The 24,331-nt window shown below is 40.5% G+C and overlaps 1 protein-coding gene across 10 annotated transcripts in view; it reads left to right on the top strand.

The window, feature by feature from the left end:
• The window catches only part of FBXO15 (F-box protein 15), a 74,467-nt gene that overhangs the window by 9,568 nt on the left and 40,568 nt on the right, over positions 1–24,331 (top strand). For 5 of the 10 annotated variants that reach the window (NM_001142958.2, NM_152676.3, XM_047437341.1 and 2 more), the window contains exons 3-8: positions 2,401–2,505; positions 7,609–7,851; positions 8,653–8,862; positions 12,166–12,292; positions 13,696–13,778; positions 14,757–14,899. In NM_001142958.2, coding sequence (NP_001136430.1) covers positions 2,401–2,505; positions 7,609–7,851; positions 8,653–8,862; positions 12,166–12,292; positions 13,696–13,778; positions 14,757–14,899 — 911 coding nt within the window. The other 5 variants (XM_024451099.2, XM_011525856.2, XM_047437343.1 and 2 more) reach the window with 5 other exon arrangements.

Genomic DNA, 24,331 nt, shown 5'->3' with positions numbered 1-24,331 from the left:
AGAAAGCAAAAATTAGGGAGCTTGGAGGTGGAGGCAACAGGTGTAGACAAGTGTTTTGTTTTCTTTTGTTCTTTCCCAGAGCTTGGCAGTGCGAGGGAGCCTAGAAATTAGGTGGCGGCTCCAGAGAGATGGGGGTGGGGAGAACCAAAGGAAGAGTGCAGTTTCAGATGAGAGATTCAGGGTGATTCAGAGGCTCCTATGAACAGTGTGGAAGAGGGAGGCAGGAACCGGAGGCTGAGGTCCTTGTGCAGAAACCGTGGGGACCTAGAGCACCGGTGCTTTGATGAGAGGAAGTGAGCATTCTCCATCGGAATAGGGGGAAGAAAGTGAGGAAAGCAGGAATATTGGGATAGATCCACAATATGAAGCAGGGACAAGGACGTGTTCACATTTGAATTCCCACAGTACTGAAAATGAACACGCACAAATTAACATTCTCAGGGAAGCTTGTTGGTTTAGAGCAGTTTCTTTGTTCTACATTCTGAACTTCTTTAACGGTCCTGCCTCTCACCTCCCCTTTCCCTTATCTCCCTATCATCCTGTCTCCTTACCCCACACAAAGTGAAATAACTAGAATCCAACAGAAAGTAATCCAATATGGGTGTAAACATTGTGTACCAGGTTAGAAGAAATTATTTGAACAATGATTAAGAATGTATTCGATCTCCACTGTCTTAACTATAAAGTAGAGATTTTCTCCTTTTGCTAGAAGGACACAGAGTACCCCCCTTTTCATTAGGTTAGTCCAGTGGGGAGGAAGGTAAAAACCTGCTGAATGCCTGTCTTGAATGGGATTTCATTCCAGTTAAATAATTCTGGTAGTTGCTGGATACTTTTCTGAAATGTCTTTAAGCCCAGCTCTGTTTTTTTGTTCAATGGTACTGATTTAAAAAATAATAGATATGAAGTTTTGTGAAATAGTTAAATCAAAATATAAAAATTATATGCAATGAATAATCCAAATGGTCACAAAAATATGTTTTCTTGCAACTTTGCTGTCTCTAGCATTAGAGACTTTTTCTCATTGCAAGGATCTAATTTATTGACTCTGAATGGGAGGGGTTTTATTTTGGGGACTGATTTAATTAATGCTTAAGCAAAGCTTTTCGTTTAAACTCTCAGAACGTCTCTGGTTAACTATAGCTGGAGATTTGAGCAGTGGGGACATTTACATGGTGATGCATATCCAACAGGCATAACGTTAACTGTCTTTTTTCTGAAGATCTACTTTATTCTTTCTCAGTATTATCGGAGTTATAGGACTGATTATTTTCCTGTGAAACACCCAGTTACCTCATTTCCTTGAAAAATAAACAAATTTAAAATCATAACAATCACAAGTAGACAGTATGGGCAAGCCCTTTTAAATTGGACAAAAGATTTCTCCCCTGACTCCTTTATCCCTAGAACTGCCCCCCACCGACCCTTGATACAATCTGTGGTAGCTCTGTTGCCGCTTGCCCTTTTGCTGAAGATTCACAGAGGCGCACTCCTGACTTCTTGACACTAGTGATACTTTCTAGTCGCTTTCAGATTATTACTGTGTTTTATAGAATTCTGAGATCATAGAAATAGGTGGAATATTGAGACTATATCTCACTATCATATTTAGGCATACAAATAAAACAGACACTTCAGAAAAAACTTATGGCCCTTGGTGTCTCCTTGAAGCCCCAGACGAAGCAGTGAAAAGCCCAAGGGTGCTCAGAAGGTGGCGCCTGGGATCGGTGTGGGCGAGGTGGGAATAAGCTGCTATTTCCCATTATACTTACTTTTTTGGGGAAAGAGATTCTGTGTTTTTCTTATTAATACCTAAGAATATGTTCTCTGATTCTCTTTTTATCTCACTAAAGAAACATACCTAGTTTAGGCCAGGTTTGGTGGGCAACATGGTGAAATTGCACAAAAAATACAAAAAATTAGCCAGGCTTGGCGGCGTGCGCCTGTAGTCCAGCTGCTGGGGAGGCTGAGGCGGGAGAATGGCTGGAGCCTAGGAGTTCTGGGCTGCAGTGAACCCTGATCATGCCACTGCATTCTAGCCTGAGTAACAGAGCAAGACCCTATCTCTACAAAAATAATAATAAAAAAATACACAGTTTCATGGGGGACATTGAAATCCTGCCTGTTGATTCACAGTGTATGAACGTGATTAAAATGCTGAGGAAGTTAGCTCTTCCAACCCTTGGCTCTATTTATGGTTTATGTCATGAGAATTAGAATAACCAGAACGTTTCAATAAAGAAAGTAATTGAAGATGAGGGTACAGTTTGCCTCTTGTACAGGAGGGGTCTCTCTACGGCCTTCTATTTAGAGATGAGCAGCCAGTTGTTTTCTGGGTAATCTGCAGATTAAGCCCTGGTCCACTCTGGTGATTTTTTTTTTCTTTTTCTGTTTTTGCAGAATGCCTTCAGAAATCTTGCTGAAGATATTTTCCTACTTGGATGCTGTGAGCCTTCTGTGTACTGGATGTGTGAGCAGGCGCTTTTATCATCTAGCCAATGACAAGTAAGCAGAAATCCAAGTCTCTGTTATGTTTTGATGACAGTTTGATGGAAGTCAGGAAAACTAGTAACTTTTTAACCATTTTTAAGAATTTAAGAGAATTCAAGAGTATTTTTACACACAAGTGGAAATGTCAAATGCTTTAACTATGAAATTTTCAAATATTTGCATTTATATGCTTAAAGGAATATACTTTGCATGGAACAAAAAAATCAAACTTGTTATTGCTGTAGCTGTTACAGAATGCAGCTTCAGGTCTGTTGCCAGGAGGTCTTCGCTGTATTCCCCACAGAATCAGACCTAACCACAGAGTCTCAAGCAGCACTGCAGGGACCTGCTGGCTTTGACCCTAGCCGTGCATTCGCAGAGCAGAATGAGTGCTCTCTGCTGATGGCCAAGCAGATCCTAAAGAAAGAGAAGGAAGAGACTAAGTTAGGTGTACTTAGCTTCTCCTCCCAAACATGCCAATCAAGTTAACTTACTCTGTGGGGAGAGCGAAATGGATAGAGAGAGGCCAAGACTGTCCTCTCCTAGAGGTTGTACGCTTGGATGAAGGGAGCCAAAAGAGAGGGGTTCACCTGTGGTCATCTGGTCTTGCAGGGGGTGGATCTAGGAAGGAAGGGGAGAAACCTCTGCTTCTGTTTGTCACTATAATCTTAGCCTGCATCTCAGAATTGTATCTTGGAGGGAGAGATGGTGGAATCCTCCTTTCAGTGAGGATTTCGTGGCTTACAACAGAACATCTTGGCTTTTTAGGCCCCTCTCTCATTTAGCATCAAAAGATCAGACAAACATCATTCCTACATAGAACCTGCATGTCAGCTGGGGAGATCAGCAAGATGAGAGGGAATGCCGGTTTTAACTGATGGTTTTGTTTGCTAGGTAAGGAGACGGAGAGTGGCAGAATGAGAGCTGTCATATTAGTTAACCCTGGAACATGGTGGACAAGAATGTCATTTAGTGCAGTGGTTCTCAGATGCCATCCAGGGAAGACTACATATGAACCACCTGGGAAAGTTTAAAACATTTCCATCCCTAGTCTGCATTTCTAGGGATTATAATTTAGTGCTCTGAAATCTGTATTTTAAAAATTCTCCAGCCAGGCGCAGTGGCTCACACCTGTAATCCCAGCACTTTGGGAGGCCGAGGCGGGCGGATCACGAGGTCAGGAGATCGAGACCATCCTGGCTAACACGGTGAAACCCCGTCTCTACTAAAAATACAAAAAATTAGCTGGGCATGGTGGCAGGCGCCTGTAGTCCCAGCTACTTGGGAGGCTGAGGCCGGAGAGTGGCATGAACCTGGGAGGCGGAGCTTGCAGTGAGCTGAGATCGCCACTGCACTCTAGCCTGGGTGACAGAGCGAGACTCCATCTCAAAAAAAAAAAAAAAAAAAAAATTCTCCAGGTCATACTAATGAATAGTCAAGTTCCGAAATAACTAATCTAGTCCATCTTTGTTGTTAGGTGTATGCCACTTAAGTGAGGAACTCAGAATAAGCCCTCAGATCTCATTAAAGCTGTCCTCAACCATTGTCATACTCTGAAGAGGACATACACTGTTCCCTAGTTGGAAAGGGTGATTTTTCTTTTAATTTAAAGAGATGTTTCCTATATGGAAGAATATATGTATGTCTATGTCAATACATGCACACACACACAAACACACACATACACATATCAATGAATGAACTAATAATGTTCTTCACAGTAGTTATAGAATGAATTAGAGCAATTTCTACATTTCCCTTCCTTAATGATTGTTGTAGTTTACGTAGTTGAGATTTGTTTGTTTCCCCAAGCCTCATGTTGAAATTTGATCCCCAGTGTTGGAAGTGGGGCCTAATGGGAGTCATCTGGGTCATGGGAACAGATCCCTCCTGAATGGCTTGGTGCCTTCCTTGTAGTTCTTGCTCTAGAGCTGGTTGTTTAAAAGAGCCTGGCAGACCTCCCTTCCTTCTCTCTTGCTCACTCACTCTATTTCTCTCTCTCTGCCGTGTGATCTCTGCACAGTTGGCTCGCCTTGGTTTTCTGCCACGTGTAGAAGCTTCCTGAGGCTTCACCAGAGGCAGATGCTGGTGTTGTGCTCCTTGTATAGCCTGCAGAACTATGAGCCAAATAAACCTCTTTCCTTTGCAGATTACCCAGCCTCAAGTATTCCTTTGTAGCAACACAAAGAGACTATGACAATGATCTAATAAGAGATGAAGGTGGTCACTAAAAGAAAGCACAGCAAGGCATTTTTCAAGGAAGGAGTCAACCAAATATCTAAAACTAGCATTCTGGAGGGTTCCCACTTTATTTAAGGGTAGAACTCAGACTCTTCAGATAAGCTGATACATTGTATATTTCTTAGTTTCTTTACTGTCTTCTCTCTCCACTTCACCTGCATGGTGAAGAAACCAGGCCTGGAATCAGATTTGGAGCATGGCTCTAGTGATGTTTTTTGCATACTTTTAGTATTATTTGTGTGCCCTCCTCACTTTCTTGGAAGTTGCCGTTTGGAAATATGAGCTACTGATGAAATTGCACTCACATTTCTTTTCTTTTTCAAAAGACATATTTAATTGTGCTAAGTTGAATTGCACTTTTTAGGTCCTGTTAAAGGACCTAAAGAGTCATAGTCTGACTCTTAAAGTCAACGTCTGATCATGAAGTCAGACTACAGAAAAGGATGTGTGATAATTGAACAAGTAATCAATATGTGTTTTTGAAAAGTTTACAGTGTATTCTAAGCGTTACTTCTGAAGAGAGGGCAAGCACACATAGTGTAGTGAGTTACACTGATGACTTATGGGCAGGCACACTTGAAGGGCAGGGGGCTCCCCAGTGCCCCATCCCAGCAGCGGGGCTACTCCCTTCTGTGTGAGCCCTGTCTCTGCGTGAGAAAAACAGGGGTGTGTGGATGAGGTGACATCTGGTTTATCACAAGGGGGTTTTATTTGCCATGTACTCTGGCAAACACTATTTATCTGAACATTAAATTGGCCCCATTTTCTAAACAACTTGTTTGAGTTTCCCTGAGCCTGTTGGTAGTTCTGTTGGATAAATATGCCCTCGTCCTCGAATCTGACTAGGCCTTCTAACAGGATGGAGCATTTGGGGATCAAGAAGTAAATGTGTTTGGAGACTGTGAAAGGTATCTGAACCTTAACATTTGTATATTATAAAAAATCAAGGGGAACCATCTGCAATATAAAATGTTTTCACTTAGGTTCACTTACGGTAAGTAATATATGATCATGTATGTGAACATAGTTCATCATACGAATGTTAGTTGTGGTTATGGTTACTCACTGCATGTGGAGTTTATGCTGTGATTCCCATCTCTGCGGCAGTGTTTGTTTTTGCAGTTGGTAAGTGCTAACACATGTAAAAATAGTATCAGAGGTTGTTTAGATAGTGCTGATGTGAGGAATTCAAGGCTCCATAAAGGTCCTGCTAAAGGAATACTTACATAGGGTGAGATGCTGAATAAAATAAATGTGAAGAAAACACAAGCAAGCTTTTATGCAAAGGGAGTTTTAAAAGTGTCTATTCAAAGGATTTTGGTGAAACAGTTTCAGCTTTACTTAAATGTACTCAACTCATCATCGCATTGCATCTGTCCGCTTACATAGGAAAGTCTAGAAATTTCTGAATTGAAAACACAAACACTTTAATATAAAAGCTAGGCATGAAGTGATTTTGCAGAGTGAGAAATGACTGAGAAACCCACACTAGGAAGAGAATTCAACCAGGGTCTGACTGTATGTGAGCTTGCATTTGTTGGGAAGTCCATGTAATGTCTGAGTCAAGGAGGTGGTGTTCCAAAGTCACGTGTTTGAGAAATGGTCCTTTTCTGCTGTGGTTAAGGAAATAGCTCTGCCTCCCCAGAGCACCCAGTTATCCCCAGGGGTCCTGCTGCAGTTCAGGACCACTGCTCTGTGGGGGAATCGCTTTTTCCTTGCAGCCTCCAGGCCGTTGACTGCTTCATCCCATGCTGCTCTGAGTAGTAATGTGGAGACCTAAATGAGCAAATCATTAATGTTTAAAATGCAAAGTTTGCCTTTCAGATAAGGAATTGATTTTAACCGCTGCCTCAGTTTTCCCTGTGTCTTCCTTCTCTTTCCTGGTGGAGAGTACTGGCTGAGAGGGAGGAGCTCTCAGGCCAGCTCACTGCCACCACTCGTGGGGCTTCTCCTGCCCTCTTAGTAGAGATGAGTGGAAGGAACAGACTTTGAGTCAGAGCTGAATTTGAATTCCAACATTGAGGCTTATTGGCTCTCTGAATTTGGGGAGCTTATTCAGTTTCTTTGACCCATTTCTTTGTGATTGAAGAGGCAGTGAAACCCAGGTGATAAGAGTGTGAGCTCTGGTTCCGATCCCAGCTTCACTATACACTTGAGTGCACAGACCTGGGCCAGCTCACCTTGCATCTGAGCCTCAGTTACAGCATCTATGCAGTGGGGACAGGAATACCAGCACCTCCTGGTTTCTTTCTGAGGAATAAATGAGTCATGTATAATACATAAAGTGGTTAAACGATGCTTGACACATAGTAAGTGTTGACAAAATTTAATGTTAACTATTGTTTAGTTGTTACCATTAAAAACCTTCACTTTTTTTCTCTTTGTGAAAGCGTATTCCTTGTTGAAAGTTAAAAAATAGCAAAAAGAGTGTTCAATTCCATTGTTCCCTATTGAAATTTCTTGGTGTGTGTACATACATCCTTTCTGATCTTTTTAAAAGCATGTATGTATTTAAAAACAAGAATCATACTACATATACTTTCTGTTATGTTTAAATAATATATTTCCTATTCCATTACTGGTATAAGAGGGCAGTCGTTTGGATGATCCTAAATAACGTGAGATTACTCACTTGAGACCTGACCCTGGGAAATGGGCTTTTCCTTTTTTTAAAATGTGTTTTTGGTGGTGTTGAATTTAAAACACTAAATCTCAAACTGCAATTCACTTTAACAGATGAACGTTCAACTGTAAATATTCAGCTTGGCTTATTCATGGAATTGGATTATTTGAAAATATGCATCTCTAATTTGATATATTATGACTAAGGTAGGTGACAGTGTCTCTTAGTTAACATATTTCCTCTTTTCCCTCCAGTTTTATTTGGATCGGAATCTACTCAACTGCTTTTTCACCTGCAAGATCAAATTGGAAATTTAATTCAGTAGAGAAGATAGCTATGTCTATGAGCTTTCTGTCAGTTCAGGATAAAGAAGCTGGTTATTGGAAGAAAGAATATATCACAAAACAAATAGCATCTGTAAAAGCCGCACTAGCTGACATTCTCAAACCTGTCAACCCTTACACAGGCCTTCCAGTTAAGACCAAAGAGGCCCTCAGGTACGCAGTGTGTTCCAAAAGAGAATGATGGCATCAGCTCAAAGTATCGTGTACGTAGGACGTATGTGCAGTTTAGATTGTGTGGGACTGTCTCTAGTATTTTTGTGTGTTTTGTGCATCTATAAAATATGTATCATTTTCCTATTCCGCATAGCCTTCTGCATCTGCTGATTCAACCAACTGCAGATCAGAAATATTAGTGGGGGGGAACTTGAAACAATAATAACAGTATAAAAAAGAATACAAATAAAACCAGTACATTATACATAATAACAACAGTTTGCACAGCATTTACATTGTATTAGGTATTATAAGTAATCTCAAGATGATTTAAAGAATACGGGAGGAGGTGCATAGGTTATATGCACATACTATGCCATTTATATAAGGGACTTGAACGTCCACAGATTTTGGTATCATGGGGTTCCTAGAACCAATTTCTTGCGGAGACAGAGGGATAACTAGTAAGTAGCCTAAAGTTTTAATGAAAAGCAGAAGTAACCTACTTATCTGCTATAGTACAATAAGAATGTTCAAGGTCTCTTTTCTGGGCAGAACCTTTGTCTTATTTATATATTGCCAGTACCTGGAAAATCATGGATGTTCAGTGGGTGTTAGGTGAGGAGAAAAAGTCTAAAGAGAGTACTATTGTTGAAGTGAAAATTATACTGGGCACATTCTGAGAATTTTGACTTTGGCTTTTAAGGAACTAGATGCTTTAGAGAAGATACATGAAATTGCCTTTAGCATTTTTTTTTTTTCAATGAGGCAAACATTGTTAGTTTTTTTTTCTTTCTCCAGAATATTTGGTTTAGGTTGGGCAATTATACTGAAAGAAAAAGGTGGAAAAGAATATATCATGGAGCATGTTGATCTTTCCATAAATGACACATCAGTTACTGTTATATGGTATGGCAAAAAATGGCCATGCCTAGCATCATTGTCAACCTTAGATTTATGTGGCATGACACCAGTTTTTACCGACTGGTATAAAACTCCCACCAAACATAGGTAAGTACCAATCAGCAGAACTGTTGAGTGAGAGCATCTTATATGTAAATATTAGTTGGCATTACTTTTGTAATTAAAAAATAAGAGCAGCGTTTTTTAATTTTATCACATATTAAATGTACATTCTGCATTAATGCAGAAGAGGAAAAGAGTGCATTTTATCACATTTCTGATTAGGTCTAAATTTAACTTCCTCGTATCTTGGGGTTGTCTTTAATGGTAAAGAATGATGTTCTAGTTAACAAAATTTCCTGGATGATTGATGGCTAACCTTTGAGGTTTTTCATTTTAACCATCTTAACAGAAAGATATATGTTATCTTCCTTCTTTAGTAAATGGTATACTAATCATAGTCTAAATATGAGGAAACCAAGTCATAATTATGAGTTATTTTGTCTGCCTTCTGTTGAACTTACTAGATATGTGATCTTGTGCAAGTAACTTACTCTTTCTGTGTCTCCATTCTCTCCTCTATGAAATGGAATGATCGTTATACTGGCATAGTATTTAGCATATATGACTGCAATGAATAAGATCGATCAAAAGATATCACTATAAAATGCGTAGATCAGCTAAGTGTGCAGCACATGGGTAATGCTTAGTGAGCCCTTTACTATTCTGTTGTCAGGTGGCTTTGCACTGAGTCCATACTCACTATGAGGCTGGCATTCTGCCTTTCTGAGCAGCTCTCTCGGGCTGTCTTTTTCATCATTGATTGCTTCCTCCTAAAAGCTGGATTATGGCATGCATAGCATCCTCATCTCTGGAGCAAGCTAACATAGCTTTATATAAGATATATTGCAAATATAAAGGTAATACCTGCCTTCTCCTGCGTTGGTTTCCTGCCCTCCCATCTCCTTCACTGTCTCAGTATTCTTTGACTTTTCAGGAGTATTTACCATGTCGTTTTCTTACCATCCTTGCGTGCTGCAGTTCCACCCATTGGTTTCTCTCCTGTCTGTCCTTGCTATGGAGGATACTGTGATATCTGACATTAGTGCCTGCCATCTCTATGGAGGGACAGGGTTCTTTCATGGTTTCCCTGGATACAGACACTTTTTTTTTTTTTTGCAGCTCTGTAACTGGGGACCTTGTTTTTGGCTCCTCTCCATGGCGCCTGCTCTTTGAGCATTGTTTTAGTGATTACTGAGCTCTCTTCCCATGCTCTGAATGTAAGACTATTCAGACCTCTTGGTGCTGGCAAATCCAGGTTTTATTGTACTCTAAAAATATTCTTAATGTTATGATGAAAAATGAATTATTTTTCCTAAATATATTACTGAAGATACTTTGGAAACAGTTACCTTTTAAAAAATGGTACTTTTATTTGGATAAATCTTTGAAATTTCATACGGGATCATGAAGGAAGCCAGCTTTTTCTAATGTAGTAATTAGGCTTTATGCATTTCAAAATTACGTTTGGAGAACAAGTCCACAAACTGTACTAGTTTTGCTAAACAATATGTTACTTGGCATATCATGAAATGTTACTTACAGATATTAGGACAAACTGGCTAACATTAATTCAAATGATCCTGAAGAATTAAGTTAAATGGATAATGTTGAATTATAAAGCTCAGTTAAAGACAGTATTTCCCTGAAATGGTCATCAAGGTCAGAAGTAATAGATACTACATAGTGCCCAATGCTAGAATTCATTGGGAAAATTCATTTGATGTAATTTATTTCTGTGAAACTTCCATGGACTCCAGCCAGCCTTTGATCAACTGTGATAAACAAAACTAAAAGTGTTTTTTAGGATTTGTTTTGATCGGCACTTTTATTGCAAGTTTGTAAGTGAATGCTTTCATTGTGCAGGAATATAAATCCTTGTACGCATCTGTGTGACAGCCAAAAAGAGCCTTTGTGATTTTTATTTGGGTCTTTTTTGTTTCCTCTATGAGAAGTTTTTCAACAACAGTGAAAGCCTCATTGATGTAATCTGGATTTCCCTGTAATTTATACCTTTCTAGTCAGACTCCAAATTTTCTTCCTTGCCAGCACTTTCTGCTCTGCAGCTTGTGCTGTCCCACCCTAAATTTGTGAGAACTGCTGGGGAAACGTCAGCCTTAGTTTCTGTGTCTGTGGCTGTAAGGCCAAGCACATGAGGACTCAGCACATTCCCAGAGTCTATTTAATAAGTACCTCTACAGCCAGATTTTCAGAGAAGAAGGTTTCTCACATCCCCACCCAGCCTCCTCTATCCACATTAATGATACTAGCAGGGACTGCGATTTATTGAGCACCTGCCCCATGCCGTGTGCTCTTGTCCCCACTCAGCAGGCTGGTGATTTCATACACAAAGAACCAGCCTGTGATAGTCGCAAAGTCACTGTAGGTTGAAGCTAAGGTTTTACCTCAGGTTTCTCTGACTCCACAGTGAGGTTCCTGACCCTGCATTTATCCTCCTCCAAGTGTATTCTGCATATGCTGGGTTTATTTCTAATTTCTACATCACACACGTTCACCGACCGTCTCTCCTTACCCAGTTGTTGTTCTCTGCACAAGAAGTTATTTTGAAGAGCTGAACATGGGACTAGGGTCATGTGGCAGCTGCGGATCTGGTTTTGATGCTTCACAGTCCCTTCCACTTTGAAGCTGGACTGCAGCTGGTGTCCTTTTTAACTTATTTATTTAATGTACCTTTGAATTCCTATTGCCTGCTGGCTTGTGCCTGAGGTGCTGGGCACCAACTGTTGAATGAGATGTGGCCCCAGCTCCTCAGGGATTTCAGTCTAATGCTGTGTTAGTGTCTCCTTTATGAAAACACTGGTGATTTAGTTTAAGTTTATTTCTGATGTGTCAACTTTCACTATCTCTGAGTTATCCTTGATGATAACTGTGAAAGGCCCATCTGCTTTCCAGCCATCTCCTGAGACCACCCGTTCTTATGTCACTTGAAATAGTGTATCTTTGCTTCTGTGTTGTTTTACTCACTTGACTAGGAATACACATTGAGAGTCTACTTTAGATTGTATTGTGCTGGATTTGGAGGGAATAGAACAGGAGACAATGCTGCCACTTCATCACTTTCCTGGTCCTTCAACTTCCTCCCGGCTGGGTCATTGAGTTGACAGTAAGAGCAAGACGGAGGGGAAGAAATACCTAGTTGGCTTGGAAATCTGAATGTATCCATTTTGCCTTTTATTCATTTGTGTCCTCACCCTGCCAACATGCCACTTAGTTTGAGCACATCATTAACATGCTCTTCAAACACATTTGTGATACACTAAAGAGAATTGACAACACTATGGACAGGAAAGCTCACTTCTCTCTCTCCTTTCCTTGGCATAACGTTCAAAGACTCCGATGGCATTCTTTAATTGCAAAGTACAATCTGAGTCATTTGACCATATCTACCATGATTGGCTGTGACAGACTCATTCGGATCTTCTGCCTGCACCCTGGCCTCCTGGTGGGAGTGTGGAAGGTAAGACTTGAGTCCCTGTATGTACTGTGTCATTTCCCCATCACAATACCACATTTACTTACCATTATGTATGACTTCAAATGTAAAATCCTTTAAGCTTTTCACTAACTGCAATCCATTTTACCATCTCACCAACTTCATTTTTTCAAGCTAACATGGCCCTCTCTGTTCCACCGAGGCTGCTGTGCTGTTCTGCTATGATAGACAACTCTGCTATCTGTTGTTCTGCTGTTCTGCTATCATAGACAACAACCTCTTCCTGCCTTCATGTTTTCCTTCATGTTATTCCTTTCATGTCATGTGGCTTTCCCACTTCCAATCAGTCCACGTTCCTTCTTCTCTTCCTTTCATGCTCTTTCTCTGACAACATTTCCCTTACTATGTGTTCAGCACGCTTGTCTCCCAAGCCTGTTTCTGATCCTGTAGGTGCGGCATTGAGTGAAATCTGCTCTTCAGGGTCAGCTGTCTACGATGTTATCCTTTCTCTCTGCATAAGATTTCTCGTTTCACCAGGTCTGGCTGATATTTTAAGATAGTAGTTCACAAATCTGTTTCTGAGTTGGCGTTATGCATTAGTTTACAATGACTAGACGGGATTAAGACCCTAGCTTCAGACAACACCATCCTCATCCCTTTTCCTTAGCCAACTGTGGCCGTCACTTTTTCTTTCCCTCCTCCCCTTTCTGTGTGAAGGTGGCTTGTGGGCGAGACCGCAGCTTGCCTGCTCTGCATTCGGTGACTCGCATGCATCCAGCTTTGTTGGTTGCAGAGTTGTGAGCACTCTGGTGGCTTCGATTGTCCTCTGCCTGGCTACTGGAGAGTGGCACCTTCAAATTTACCATTTGGGGGTCACCTATGCCCATCAGTGTCAGCTGTGAATCTGGGGAGAAATGGAGGTCAGTCCCCAAATAGTCGCATTTTCTGCTATTCAACCTCATGGACAAGTGAAGAAGTTGAATCTAATCATTCCCACCACGTTGGCCAAATCAAGCAGTTACTTGCAAGAGGAACATTGTGTCAGTAAAGTTCAGTATTTGTAGAATTAATCTGGTATCTGTGAAAGTCTTTGAAAGGAATTTGAAACAGCCTGGAACTAACTGCATAGTTTCACAACTATCATATATATCTTTTGATATTTCACAAGCTCTAGGCTGTGAGTTCTTTTGGTCCTGTGTGCTCTGCATATTTGGGTGAATTGTGGTCCTGCTGTCAATATGAAATATAAGTCTTATTAGATAGTAGTAACATATTAGCAGTAATAATGCATTAGCACTGTGGTGATCTTATGTTTGTAAGAAAGTGCCTCTATCTGCAAGATGAATGTGCTGTGATCTTCACAATGATCTTGTGAAAAATGTAAGCATTTTGGTTGAAATATGTATTCTTCTCAATTAACTTTTCAGAAGGAGGAAGAACTGGCTTTTGTTATGGCAAATCTTCATTTTCATCACCTTGTGGAGAGGAGCACATTAGGCTCGGCTACTATGTATGTATTTATATGTGGGTGTGTTGAATTTTTGTACAGTAAATATAAAGTATTAGAAGTTGATGCCATCTTAATATCCTGAGAATAGCTGCAGAGATATTCTGTTTTTAATCAGTAAACACAAACCAACAGGCACAATTAGCTGTCGCTAAAATAATTGGATTATTCACGAGTACATATTTGCTTTATTTATTCTGGGTCAAGGAATTTGTACCTAGTAGGTTGTTATTTGTATGGGTAGGATAGCTTGATTACTTCAAGATGCCACTACTGTCCTTCAAGTTCTTGCTCTTATGTGAATTTTCACATCTTGTAAGGCATGTAGACTCATGGCCCTTGGGCTGAACCTGGCCTGCGGATGATTCTGTCCGGTCTGGACAGTGTGTGTCTTTTAATGAATTTGCGCGTCTTTAGGTGGCGCACAGGCTTCCCATTTCACTACAGCTCTCACCCTTTTCCTGTGGACTTAGACTCCCTTACTCATTTTTTTTTTTTTTAATTACCTGAGAAGCTCCTGAGTATTTTTGAGTTTGTCACCTTACGTAGTCATGTTTTTCTTGTTGAATAAAACTTTGTCTTGGCTTTGGGTCTGCCTGGGTGTTTGTCCTGCAGATCGGTATTCAGTGCCTTTTCCTGCTGAGCACTTTTGTCCCCTGGACACTGAGAACAACACGGAGGGCAGAGTGGCTTTTATAGAGTGGCCATGCTGGGATCAGCTGCAGAAACATGTGCACCCGTGCTGGGCGGTGGCTGCCTACAGAACTCACATCATTGCCTGTTTTTATAGAAGTTGGTAAAAGTAACATTGAGCAGTCTTTTAAGTTCACAGTATTGAAGATTATAGGGAATCCTATGGAGTTTCATTTGTAGGAGGTAGTGCTTTGATACAGATGGTAATTTTTTAAAAAGTATTTTCAAACCAAGAATTTTATCCCTGGTGTTGACAAATTTGTATGTTTCTTTTGTTTTGCTTTTCAGCCCCTATGAACTGCCTCCACATAGCCCCTTTTTGGATGATAGCCCCGAGTATGGACTGCACGGCTACCAACTCCATGTTGATCTGCACAGCGGTGGGGTTTTCTACCTATGTGGTACATTTCGCAATCTCTTCACCAAGAGAGGTGAAATTGATTGAGTTTTTATTTCATTATGAAATTAAAGGTTGAGGTGAGGGAACCAATTTTGATGTCCGAGTTAAGAATTGCCCTCACTGGTCACTTTATAATCTTTTGGCACCAGTATCCTCCCAGACCCGTGTGTCATCCCAGGGCTTGTGAAAGTCCTCACTGGACCGAGTCTCTTCAGAACTGGCTCTGTCTCCTTCACCACCATCACTCTCAATGCCACCTTCTGGGGGTAGCCCCTACTCATCTTCTCTACTGATGCTTCCTTATTATTTTTCCATGCTCTCTGCTTTCCCCAGACTTCTTCCCTTCTTTCTTAAAGGAATGTGGTAAATTTGCCAGCAGGGCCCGTGCCGCTCCAGGATGAGAGTAAAGAGAAACCAGCCTTTCTCCTCTACGTACTGCATCACTGTTTGCCACACCTACCAAAGCCAGGACAGAGGCTGGGGCAGACAGAGGAAAGGAGGGAGCTTACGCCAAGCAGGAAAAACGAGGGAGTGGAGAATGCCCCATTCTCACTTATCTGATTATTTCCTTTTGGTTTCATTCTACTGTAGCCTGTAAACTTGGAGTTTCATGTAAGGACTTGCTTAGATTCAAGTTTAACATTTCTGGTAAAAATATTTTAAAAGGGAAGTTATGTACTTCATTTTGCATTATATTGAGAGGTATATAATGTCAGGTTGTCCCATTATTAGTAATGCCTGGTTTTATCATCTGGTTAAGATGGTGACCACTAGATATCTTCATTATTAAAAGTATTCTTTTCCAAATATCCTGGTCCTCCAAAGTCTTTCATCTAGTGGACTTGACACTCATTAATGATATGTGCCTAAATCAAATATTTTGTTTAAAAATGTTGATTTTCTAATTATGTCACTATTTCTATATTTATCAACTGAGATTTTGTAAAGAACTTTCTCTTATCACCTGGGTGAACTTCTATAAAGGCAGAGCAAATGCTTAATTCTTTCCTTTTAACTGCCAATTTTCAGATGAAGAAATTGATGTTACAGAGCACAAGGGGCTTGCTGCCTAATGTGCTGGAACCCAATACTGTGACAGCAGGTTTTTGAGAAAGGAAAAGCTTTTTATGGCTGGCCCACTGATAAGGAGACAGGAGTCCAGCTCAAATCTGTCTCCTCATGCTGGCTTTAATGCAGTAATTTTATTAGAAAAGGTGTAGGGAGTGGATTCTGGGATTAGTAGGTGATCGGTGGAAGGAAAGGGAGGTCTGGAAAGTCCTCAGGCATGGCGCAGTTACCTCTTCATGCCCTCGTAGGTCACTTGCAAATTCAGGAGGAGTTAATATGAAACATGTGGTGGGAATTCAGGCTGTGATGTCAGAAAACTCCATCTGTGAAAACTCCAGTTGGCCATATTGGTTCCGACTGATTTCAGCCAGTTTTATCTTACAAGTGGAGGGCGTTTTATTATTTTAGTAAGTTGCCTCTTTTCTTATCTGCCATCTTGCAAACTCAAGCATTTCTGTTAGTCATTAGCTTCTTTAACTCTGGAGCATGGTTTCACTGAGGCACTAGTCATCTCCTGTGGTGGAAGAAATGTGAGCTCTTCTTCTTTCCTCCTCGCCCCCACCCTTGTTTAATGTCACTTTGGACTCTTGGATATTTATTTATTTAATAATTTATAGTCAGTTATAGACATTTCTTTTTGAAGTTACTTGGTCGGTGGGATCTGCTTTGGGCTGCTTCTGTGTCCTGTAGATATCCTCTTTGTCTTTGAGTCTTCCTTGCTTTTTGGCTCAGGAAGATTGCTAGGTTTTCTCGCGTTTGTTGGCATTTTTATCAGAATTATTCAATTCCACATATTAACCTGAGGTATAGTAACATCTATGTTGTTGAATTGTTCCATCCAAGAATGTGGAACATCTTTCAGTTTGTTTAAAAATACTTTTATGTCTTTGAGGAGTGTTTCAGAATTTTCTTCATGCTAGTTTTGCACATTTCTTGTTAAGATATTTATGAAGTATTTAATTCTTGTTACTTCTCTTTCGTTTTATCTTCCAGCTGTTTTGTGATTTCTTTGTGAGGTTTTGGTCTCATAGAATGAATTGGGAAGTATTCTTTCCTCTTGGATTTTTTGGAGGATTTTGCATAGAATTGGTAGTATTTCTTCCTTGTTTGGTAGAATTCATCCAAGCCTGGACCTTTCTTTATGAGAAGACTTTTAACTACAGTTTCCTTTTCTTTCAAAGAGATGGAGCTATTTAGGTTATCCATTTCTTCTTGAGTCAGCTGTGGTATTTTTTGTCTTTTAAGGAATTTGTCCATTTTATCTAAGTTGCTGACTTTATTGGCATAAAGTTCTTCGTAATAGTCCCTTATTATCTTTTTCATGTCTATAGAATCTAGTGACATGATGTGATTCCTGATATTGGTAATTCATGTATTTCTGTATTTCTTTTTTTTCCTGATCAGTGTGGCTGGAAGTTTATCAATTTTATTCATCTTCTCAGATACCTAACTTTTGGTTTTATTGCCTTTTTTTCTGTATTATTTTGTTTTGTATTTCATTGATTTGCATGTTGATTTCTATTCTTTCTACTTTTTTTCTGCTTATGTTGTAATTTTCTGTTTTTCTAGTTTCTAAAGGGAGAAGTGGAAATTATTGATTTGAGAACTTTCATTTTATCATATTGAGACATTTGGTGCTATGAACTTCCACCTAAGTATTGCTTTAGTGGCATCCCACAAAATCTGATATGTTTTATTTCATTTTCATTCACTTTAAAATACTTTCTAATTTCCTTTTTATTTCTTCTTTGATATATGGGTTAGATAGAAGTGTGTAATATAGTTTCCAAATATCTGAGGATTTTCTAGAGATCTTTCTGTTACTGAGTTCTAATTTAACTCAATTGTGGTCAGGAAATATGCTTTGTATTACTTGAATTTTTAAAAAGTGACTGAAATTTGTTGTATGTTCCAGAATATGATCTATTTTGGTATATGTTCCATGTGTACTTGAGAAGAATGTGTTCTGCTGTTGTTGAGTAGAGTGTTCGAAAATATTAATTAGGTAATACCGGTTGAGAGAGTTGATATTTTTTGCCTACTTGTTTTATCAGTTAGAGAGAGGTGTTGAGATCTCCAACTCTGACAGTGAATTTGTGTACTTTTTTGCTGTTTTATCAGTTTTTGCCATGTGTATTTTGAAGCTCTGTTATATTCATGAACACTGGAGACTATGATATCCCTTTGACTAAGTACACACTGTGTACATTGTTGAGGGTGCCCCCAGTGTGCCCTAGTGCACACCAAGGGTACAAACGCTGTGCCTTCTATGCCAGTATTAGCGGAGAACTGAGTCTCTGCTCTCCATGGCTGCAGCCCTCATGGAGTGTTGAATTCGGCATCTAGCCTGACCTGGTGCCACCACTGTGGGCAGCTGGCCTGGGAAATGGGGGAACAAGATGCGATTTCCACAGAGATGAGGTGAGATGGCTGCCTGGTCCCAGCCACAGCTGCTCCTCAGAGCTCTCCTTCCCCTTTAAACCTTGTGAACCGTTACAGAGCCCTGTGTGTCCCCACTCTGCCTCCCCCACCTCAGCCCACACTGCTGCCATCCCCTCTCTGGCCTTATCCTTTTCTGTCCTCCCCACTCTAGCTCCGCTGCAGCTTTAGTGAGTTCCTCTCTGTTCCTTGACTGTATCAGGCTTTCTGTGGCCTCACATTCTTGGTGTGCCCCTCCTGCCTGCAGTGTTACTGCCCCAGATCTTAGCGTGGGTCCTGGGGGTCATGTCTCTCTGAGCCTGATTCACTGACAGCTTCTCAGTGAGGCTTTACCCACTTTGCTACACCTAGAAGCCCTCACTCTCCCCATTTCTCACCTGCCTGCCTCAATTTTTCTTCATAGCACTGTCTATCACACTGAGTTTACTTATTTAGGTAGTTTATATGTTTAAGAGAAGTAACTTCCATGGGGCAGTATTTTGGTTTATTTTGTTCAGGACTGTCATGGCACATAGTAGGCTTGCACATAAATATCACAAAGAGAATGGGTGGCTCCCAAAGGCCATGCAGTTGAGGGGCTCTTAGATAGACTCTTCTGGGCCTGTTATCTTAAAGCTCTTTCTGTTTCTTTAGCTAAAGGATTCTCAGCCGCATTGGCCAGGATCTTTTTGGTCAAAGCTCTTGCAGTTCTCTGTTGCCTCTAGAGGAAAAGATGCAGCTTCAGGATGCTGCAGAGCAGAGCTGCAGGCTGGCCCTTCTTGTGGGACCAAAGCAAGGCGACAGCGAGGGCCTGAGCCTCTCCACCAGGAGTGGGAAGCCCTGCCCTCATCCCGCCTCCCAGGGCCTGGGGAGGCCCCAGGAGGCTGGTGGGGCCTATTTCCTAGGCCACTGTGCTGTTCCAGAGCTGCCACTGCTGGTCTTCCACCACTGCCTTGATTCCTTTTCTCTTACAACCCAGAGGAAGGGCATCAGAGTTCCCCTTCTAAAGTACATGACTGTGTACTTCTCTCTGGAAATAAAAAGCCTCACAAATTCAACGTCTGGCAGAGTACTTTCTACTTTTGTACCTAGGGTAGGTTACTTGGCTACACAAATAAAAATGAAATTTGTGTTTAGGTACTTAGTGTCTATGTCATCCTCTCATTACAAGGCAAACATCAGGAACTTGTGCCATTTCTCATCTGAGATGGCTTATAAGACATAGTTTTTGCAGAATACCAACTGTTCTATAAAAATTGCTTCCAAGACACTAATTATATTACTTTCAGTTTTAAAAATGTTTATTTTGAAATAATTTTACATTGTACAGAGAACTCCTGTACAGTCTTTATACAGAATTTATTCATTTATAACATTATTTGCCATTAAAAAATCATTTTTCTTTCTCTTTCTCTCTCTCTCTCTCTGTGTATAATGTTAATAGACCCCTTGATGTTTATACAACATGTGTGTGTGTATATACACATATATATATATATGTGTATATATGTGTATATACGCAGGTCATAAAATCGTCAAGGGGAATATTAACATTCTGAATCTCAAAGTGCCGGGATTACAAGCATGAGCCACCACACCCTGGCCTACCTTTATGTGATGTGGTGTGGTGGCTCATGTTTGTACCTAGCAATTTGAAAGGCTGAGGCAGGCAGATCACTTCAGCCCAGAAGTTCCAGACCAGCCTGGGCATCATGGTGAAACCCGGCCTCTACAAAAAAATACAAAAATTAGCTGGGCATGATTACATGCACCTGTAGTCTCAGCTACTTGAGAGGCTGAGGGTGGGAGGATCGAGAGTTCCAGGGTTCAGTGAGACATGATTGTGACCCTGCACTCCAGCCTGGGCAACAGAGCAAGACCCTGTCTCAAAAAAAAAAAAAAAGAAATATGTATGTAGAATTCTGTATGTTGGGATCCATACGCATGTAGAATTATCCCATCACTCTATTCTTGAGGAGTTAGGACCTGTTAGGTGCTAGGTCTGTCTCAGTGGACTGTCTAGAACTTCAGAGAAGAGGGCTCGCCATTCACTATTGCAAACAAATACAGCATAGCGTTGATTAATTTTTATGTTTGCATTCCTCATACTTAAAATATGCCCTTAATAATGATGAATACGATAATAATAGGGAAAATTTTTGAGCACTCATTATAGGTTTCTGCTAAATGTTTCGTGTTATTTCACTTCCTTTTCACAGCACGCCTGAGCTGTGGGTACTTTCACCTCCCCATGTTATTGATGAGGAATCAGAAGGTGGTAGAGAGTCAGGTCTGTGTTCTGTAAAGCTAGTAGGTGGCACAGTCTGCACTCAGGTCCGCGCGACTCCAGAGCTGGGTATGTCCTGCTTCCTGTAATATGCTTCCTGTATATTTTTGCCTTTTAAATGATGTGCTTTTAGAGTGTATCTTCTTGTGTGTGTGTGTGACTGTCAGTGTATTTCCAAAGTTTTGGCACTGTAAGTGTGGTCAGGGTAGGCTGTTGACTTGCTGGAGTAACATTTAAGCCAATTTTGTGTTAACGTTAATAAACCCCTTGATGGTTATATGGTTGTTATAACGCATAAGAGGTTAAGTTAAATGAGGGAGAATGGGAAACTGAGTTAGGAATAATTGGCCTTTTGTGATTTTCCCCCCAGTAAAAAGATGACAAAGTAGGATTTCCAAGGTGGACTCAAATATATTTCTACTTCCCATGGTTGCACTACTAGGAGTCAGCAGAGGGTGCTGTTGCCATCAGAGTGTCTTTGTAACATTTTTAAAAGTATTATACAAATAGAATGTCCTCTGTAGTTTTTGAGAAACTCTCTTGTGGTACCATGTGGTATATTTAGTAAATTTCAGCTATGTCATTGCGTTTGGGTATAAATCACTTTGCCCCCATTTTTTAAAAAAGCCTTTCTCCCTATCAAGGATAAAATGTTCTGTCGTCACGTCTGTGGAATGTAGGTGGCTCTCTGCTCTCTTCATCCTCCGAGAGACCTGTGAAGCCTGGCTCGACGCTAACCAGGCAGGCTGTAGGGAGCTGCAGGAAGTAAAGGGATGAGGCTGGGTCTTCTGGGGTTCATCTATTAACAAACCGTTATTGAATGCAGGACATGGGCCACACAGAGGGAAGCCCTGCCTCCATGTGATCCCTGCCTGATAGGGTTAGGGACAGAGAGAGGCTTGGTAATCCAGGCACAAGCATGAGTGGGGAGGGGTGGCATGAGGGATTTCTGGAATGTTCTGAGGAAGGGCACACCAGGAGGAGCTGGGGTGGGGATGAAGTGACCAGTTGCAGTGTCCAGACAGGTTACTGGGAGGGTCCAGGCCGAGGTAGTAGGGTTGAGTGGAAAGGATAAAACTTCAACTATGACATAATTTATTAATAGAGCCAGAATTTGGTCATTCTGTATGGACATTTCCAGGATTCTATTTTTGAATAAGGGATTTTATGGATGCTCCAATTAAGTCCACCAAGTCATTGCAATCCTATTAAAAACCCCAATAGAAATTTATTATCAAACTTGCAAAGTAGCATCTAAAAAATCACTTTGGAAATGCACATATGCATATGAAATGGCTGAGAAATTTTGTTTCAAATTTTTAATGAGAAAGTATAATCTTTTCTATGTATACAGGCTACAGAAAAACAATACAATAAAAAATCATGTAGCCACCACAGTATAGAAATAGACCAGTACCACAAACTTTGAAGCAGCCTGCATGTCCCCAACCTGCTCTCATTTGCTTCTTTTCCTGCCAGAGGGAACCACCATTCTGTCTGTTGTGTTAATTGTTCCCTTGCTTTTCCTTTTTTTTGGTAATTAAACATCTTTGTATTGTGAAATGACACACAGAGAAATGCATAAGACAGATAATTGTAAAGAAAACACCTGTGTGATCACCATCCAGGTCTTAAGTTTTGAAAATGAATTGAGAGGGGGCTGGCTTAGCAGATGTTAACCACTCTGAAACTACAGTGACCAAGAAAGTACAGTATCACTAAAGAAATAGATACCCAGGAGAGTGGAGCAAAACATCTTTCACATCTTTTGCAGTTCCAGATTTTTCTGTCAAATTATTTTTGTGTACATAAACCCTTTATTCATATTTTAATAAATCTTAGACTCATAGAAAAAGTCATGAGTAGCTATTTAAATTATACATTATGCATTATGATATATCTATATATCAGTGTATATCTTCATCCTTTAAAAGATACATATGTATTTCTTTAGAAAGTATGGAATGCGTTGTGTAGAATAATTTGCCTTATACTGGCTAAAAGGATCTCTAGAATTGAATATGTAGGGAATGCAAATAATCAAAGGATTCGTGTTTGTTTTCAGGCAGAACAATCCCAGTGAAGTATTCAGAGTGAGTTCTGGCAATTTGATGTCATCCACCTCTTGGTCACGATATTTTCTCTGAACAAAATATCCCTTAGTTCTATTTTCTTAACTCTGTCCCATGAACTTTGGTACAAGGTCCTTTGATTTTTTTTCAGTGTCTGTTACTAAAAACAAACCAGAAGAACCCATTTAACTCTTGGTGCCTGGGATTAGGTTCTCAAGTCACAGAGTGGGAGGAATATTTCCAAACTGACTCAGTGGTAAATGCTCAGAAATAAGCATCACCTCATTGGCTGACCAGCAACATCTCCCAGCTCAGCCAGTGCTGCAGTCATCCATTTTGAGGCAACAGCTCGTGTCTCTTAGCTTTGAGTTCTGACATGTCTCCAGCGGGCTCAGCTCCCAGGCCAGTGGACACTAAGTTTTGCTCTACTTTTCTTCCTCTGTTGTCCTTTCAGATCTGAGGATGTTCTATTTTGGCGTGGTTAGGAGGACCGTAGGTCCTCTAATTCCATAAAATATTGCTCATGCTTCTAGACATTATCTCCCTCAGTAAGAAGCTGTGTCTAGGGAAAGGCTTTTTGACCTCTCAGCACTACCTGATAGTGAATAAAAAGGATCTGTGTCCTTTCTTTTTTTCCTTATGGGTTTATTTGACTGCTTCTCCTTGGAACTTTGTCATACTCCTCCTCCAAGGAACTGGGAAGTGTCCTTTCTTTGTATTTTTATGTGTTCTGCCACTTTGTCAAGTCATGGCTATGTGGAAAATTTTAAAAAGGATCTAATTTCTTTTCAAAGAAAAATGTATGATCCCTAGACTTGCACATATTGTTACCTGCTTCTTTGTGTATTGCCACTAAAATTAAGTTAAAAAGAAGTTTAGATGAAGAAGTATTTTGCTATCTGAATTGGATTTATGAGAGGAAAGAGGGAATGTGGGTAAATAGTGAAGGAAATACTGAAAGAGTGATTTGTAAATGAAAACTTAAGGTGAACTTGTAACAGTGCCTGTGGGTTTTTCTGTATAGCTTTTGTTTTCTATTCTTTTGGAAATGTAAATAGATGACATTGGCTCCCTAATTTCAGTGATTCACTAGGAGGACTCCCAGGACTCAGGATATAGTTGCATTATTGGTTAAGATTTATGACAGTGAAAGGATACAGAACAAAGTCAGCCAAGTTAAAAAGGGCATGGGGTGAAATCTGCAGGAAACCAGTGCAAGCTAAGAGTCCTTCCCCATGGAGTCAACACAAAGTGCTCTTAATTCCTCCAAGAATGAGTTGTGACCAGACATGTGAAATGTTGTCTATCATTAGACAGCTCTAATGAGAGCTCATTAGAGACTCAGCACCCCGGGTTTTTACTCTGGGCTTGTCACATAGGCAGTCTCTGCCTGGCACTAGCAGAATTCCAGACTCTCAGAAGCAAAGAGGATGTTCAGCATTAACCACACTGTACAAATTGTTTAGGTACAGGGACCACCCTTACTGGTTAGGGAATGGTGGGTGAGAACACTCCTGAAATCCAAATGCCTAGACCACATCCAAGGGCCAGGCTGGCAAGCAGATCTTCCTAAGAATTGACAGTATGAGGCCTGCTGTGTGAACTATTTTCAGCATAG

Source organism: Homo sapiens, chromosome 18 (assembly GCF_000001405.40).
Source record: "Homo sapiens chromosome 18, GRCh38.p14 Primary Assembly".
Taxonomy (NCBI): Eukaryota; Metazoa; Chordata; class Mammalia; order Primates; family Hominidae; genus Homo; species Homo sapiens.
Note: the sequence above shows the minus strand (reverse complement) of the source record. Positions and strands in the feature narration are given on the sequence as shown.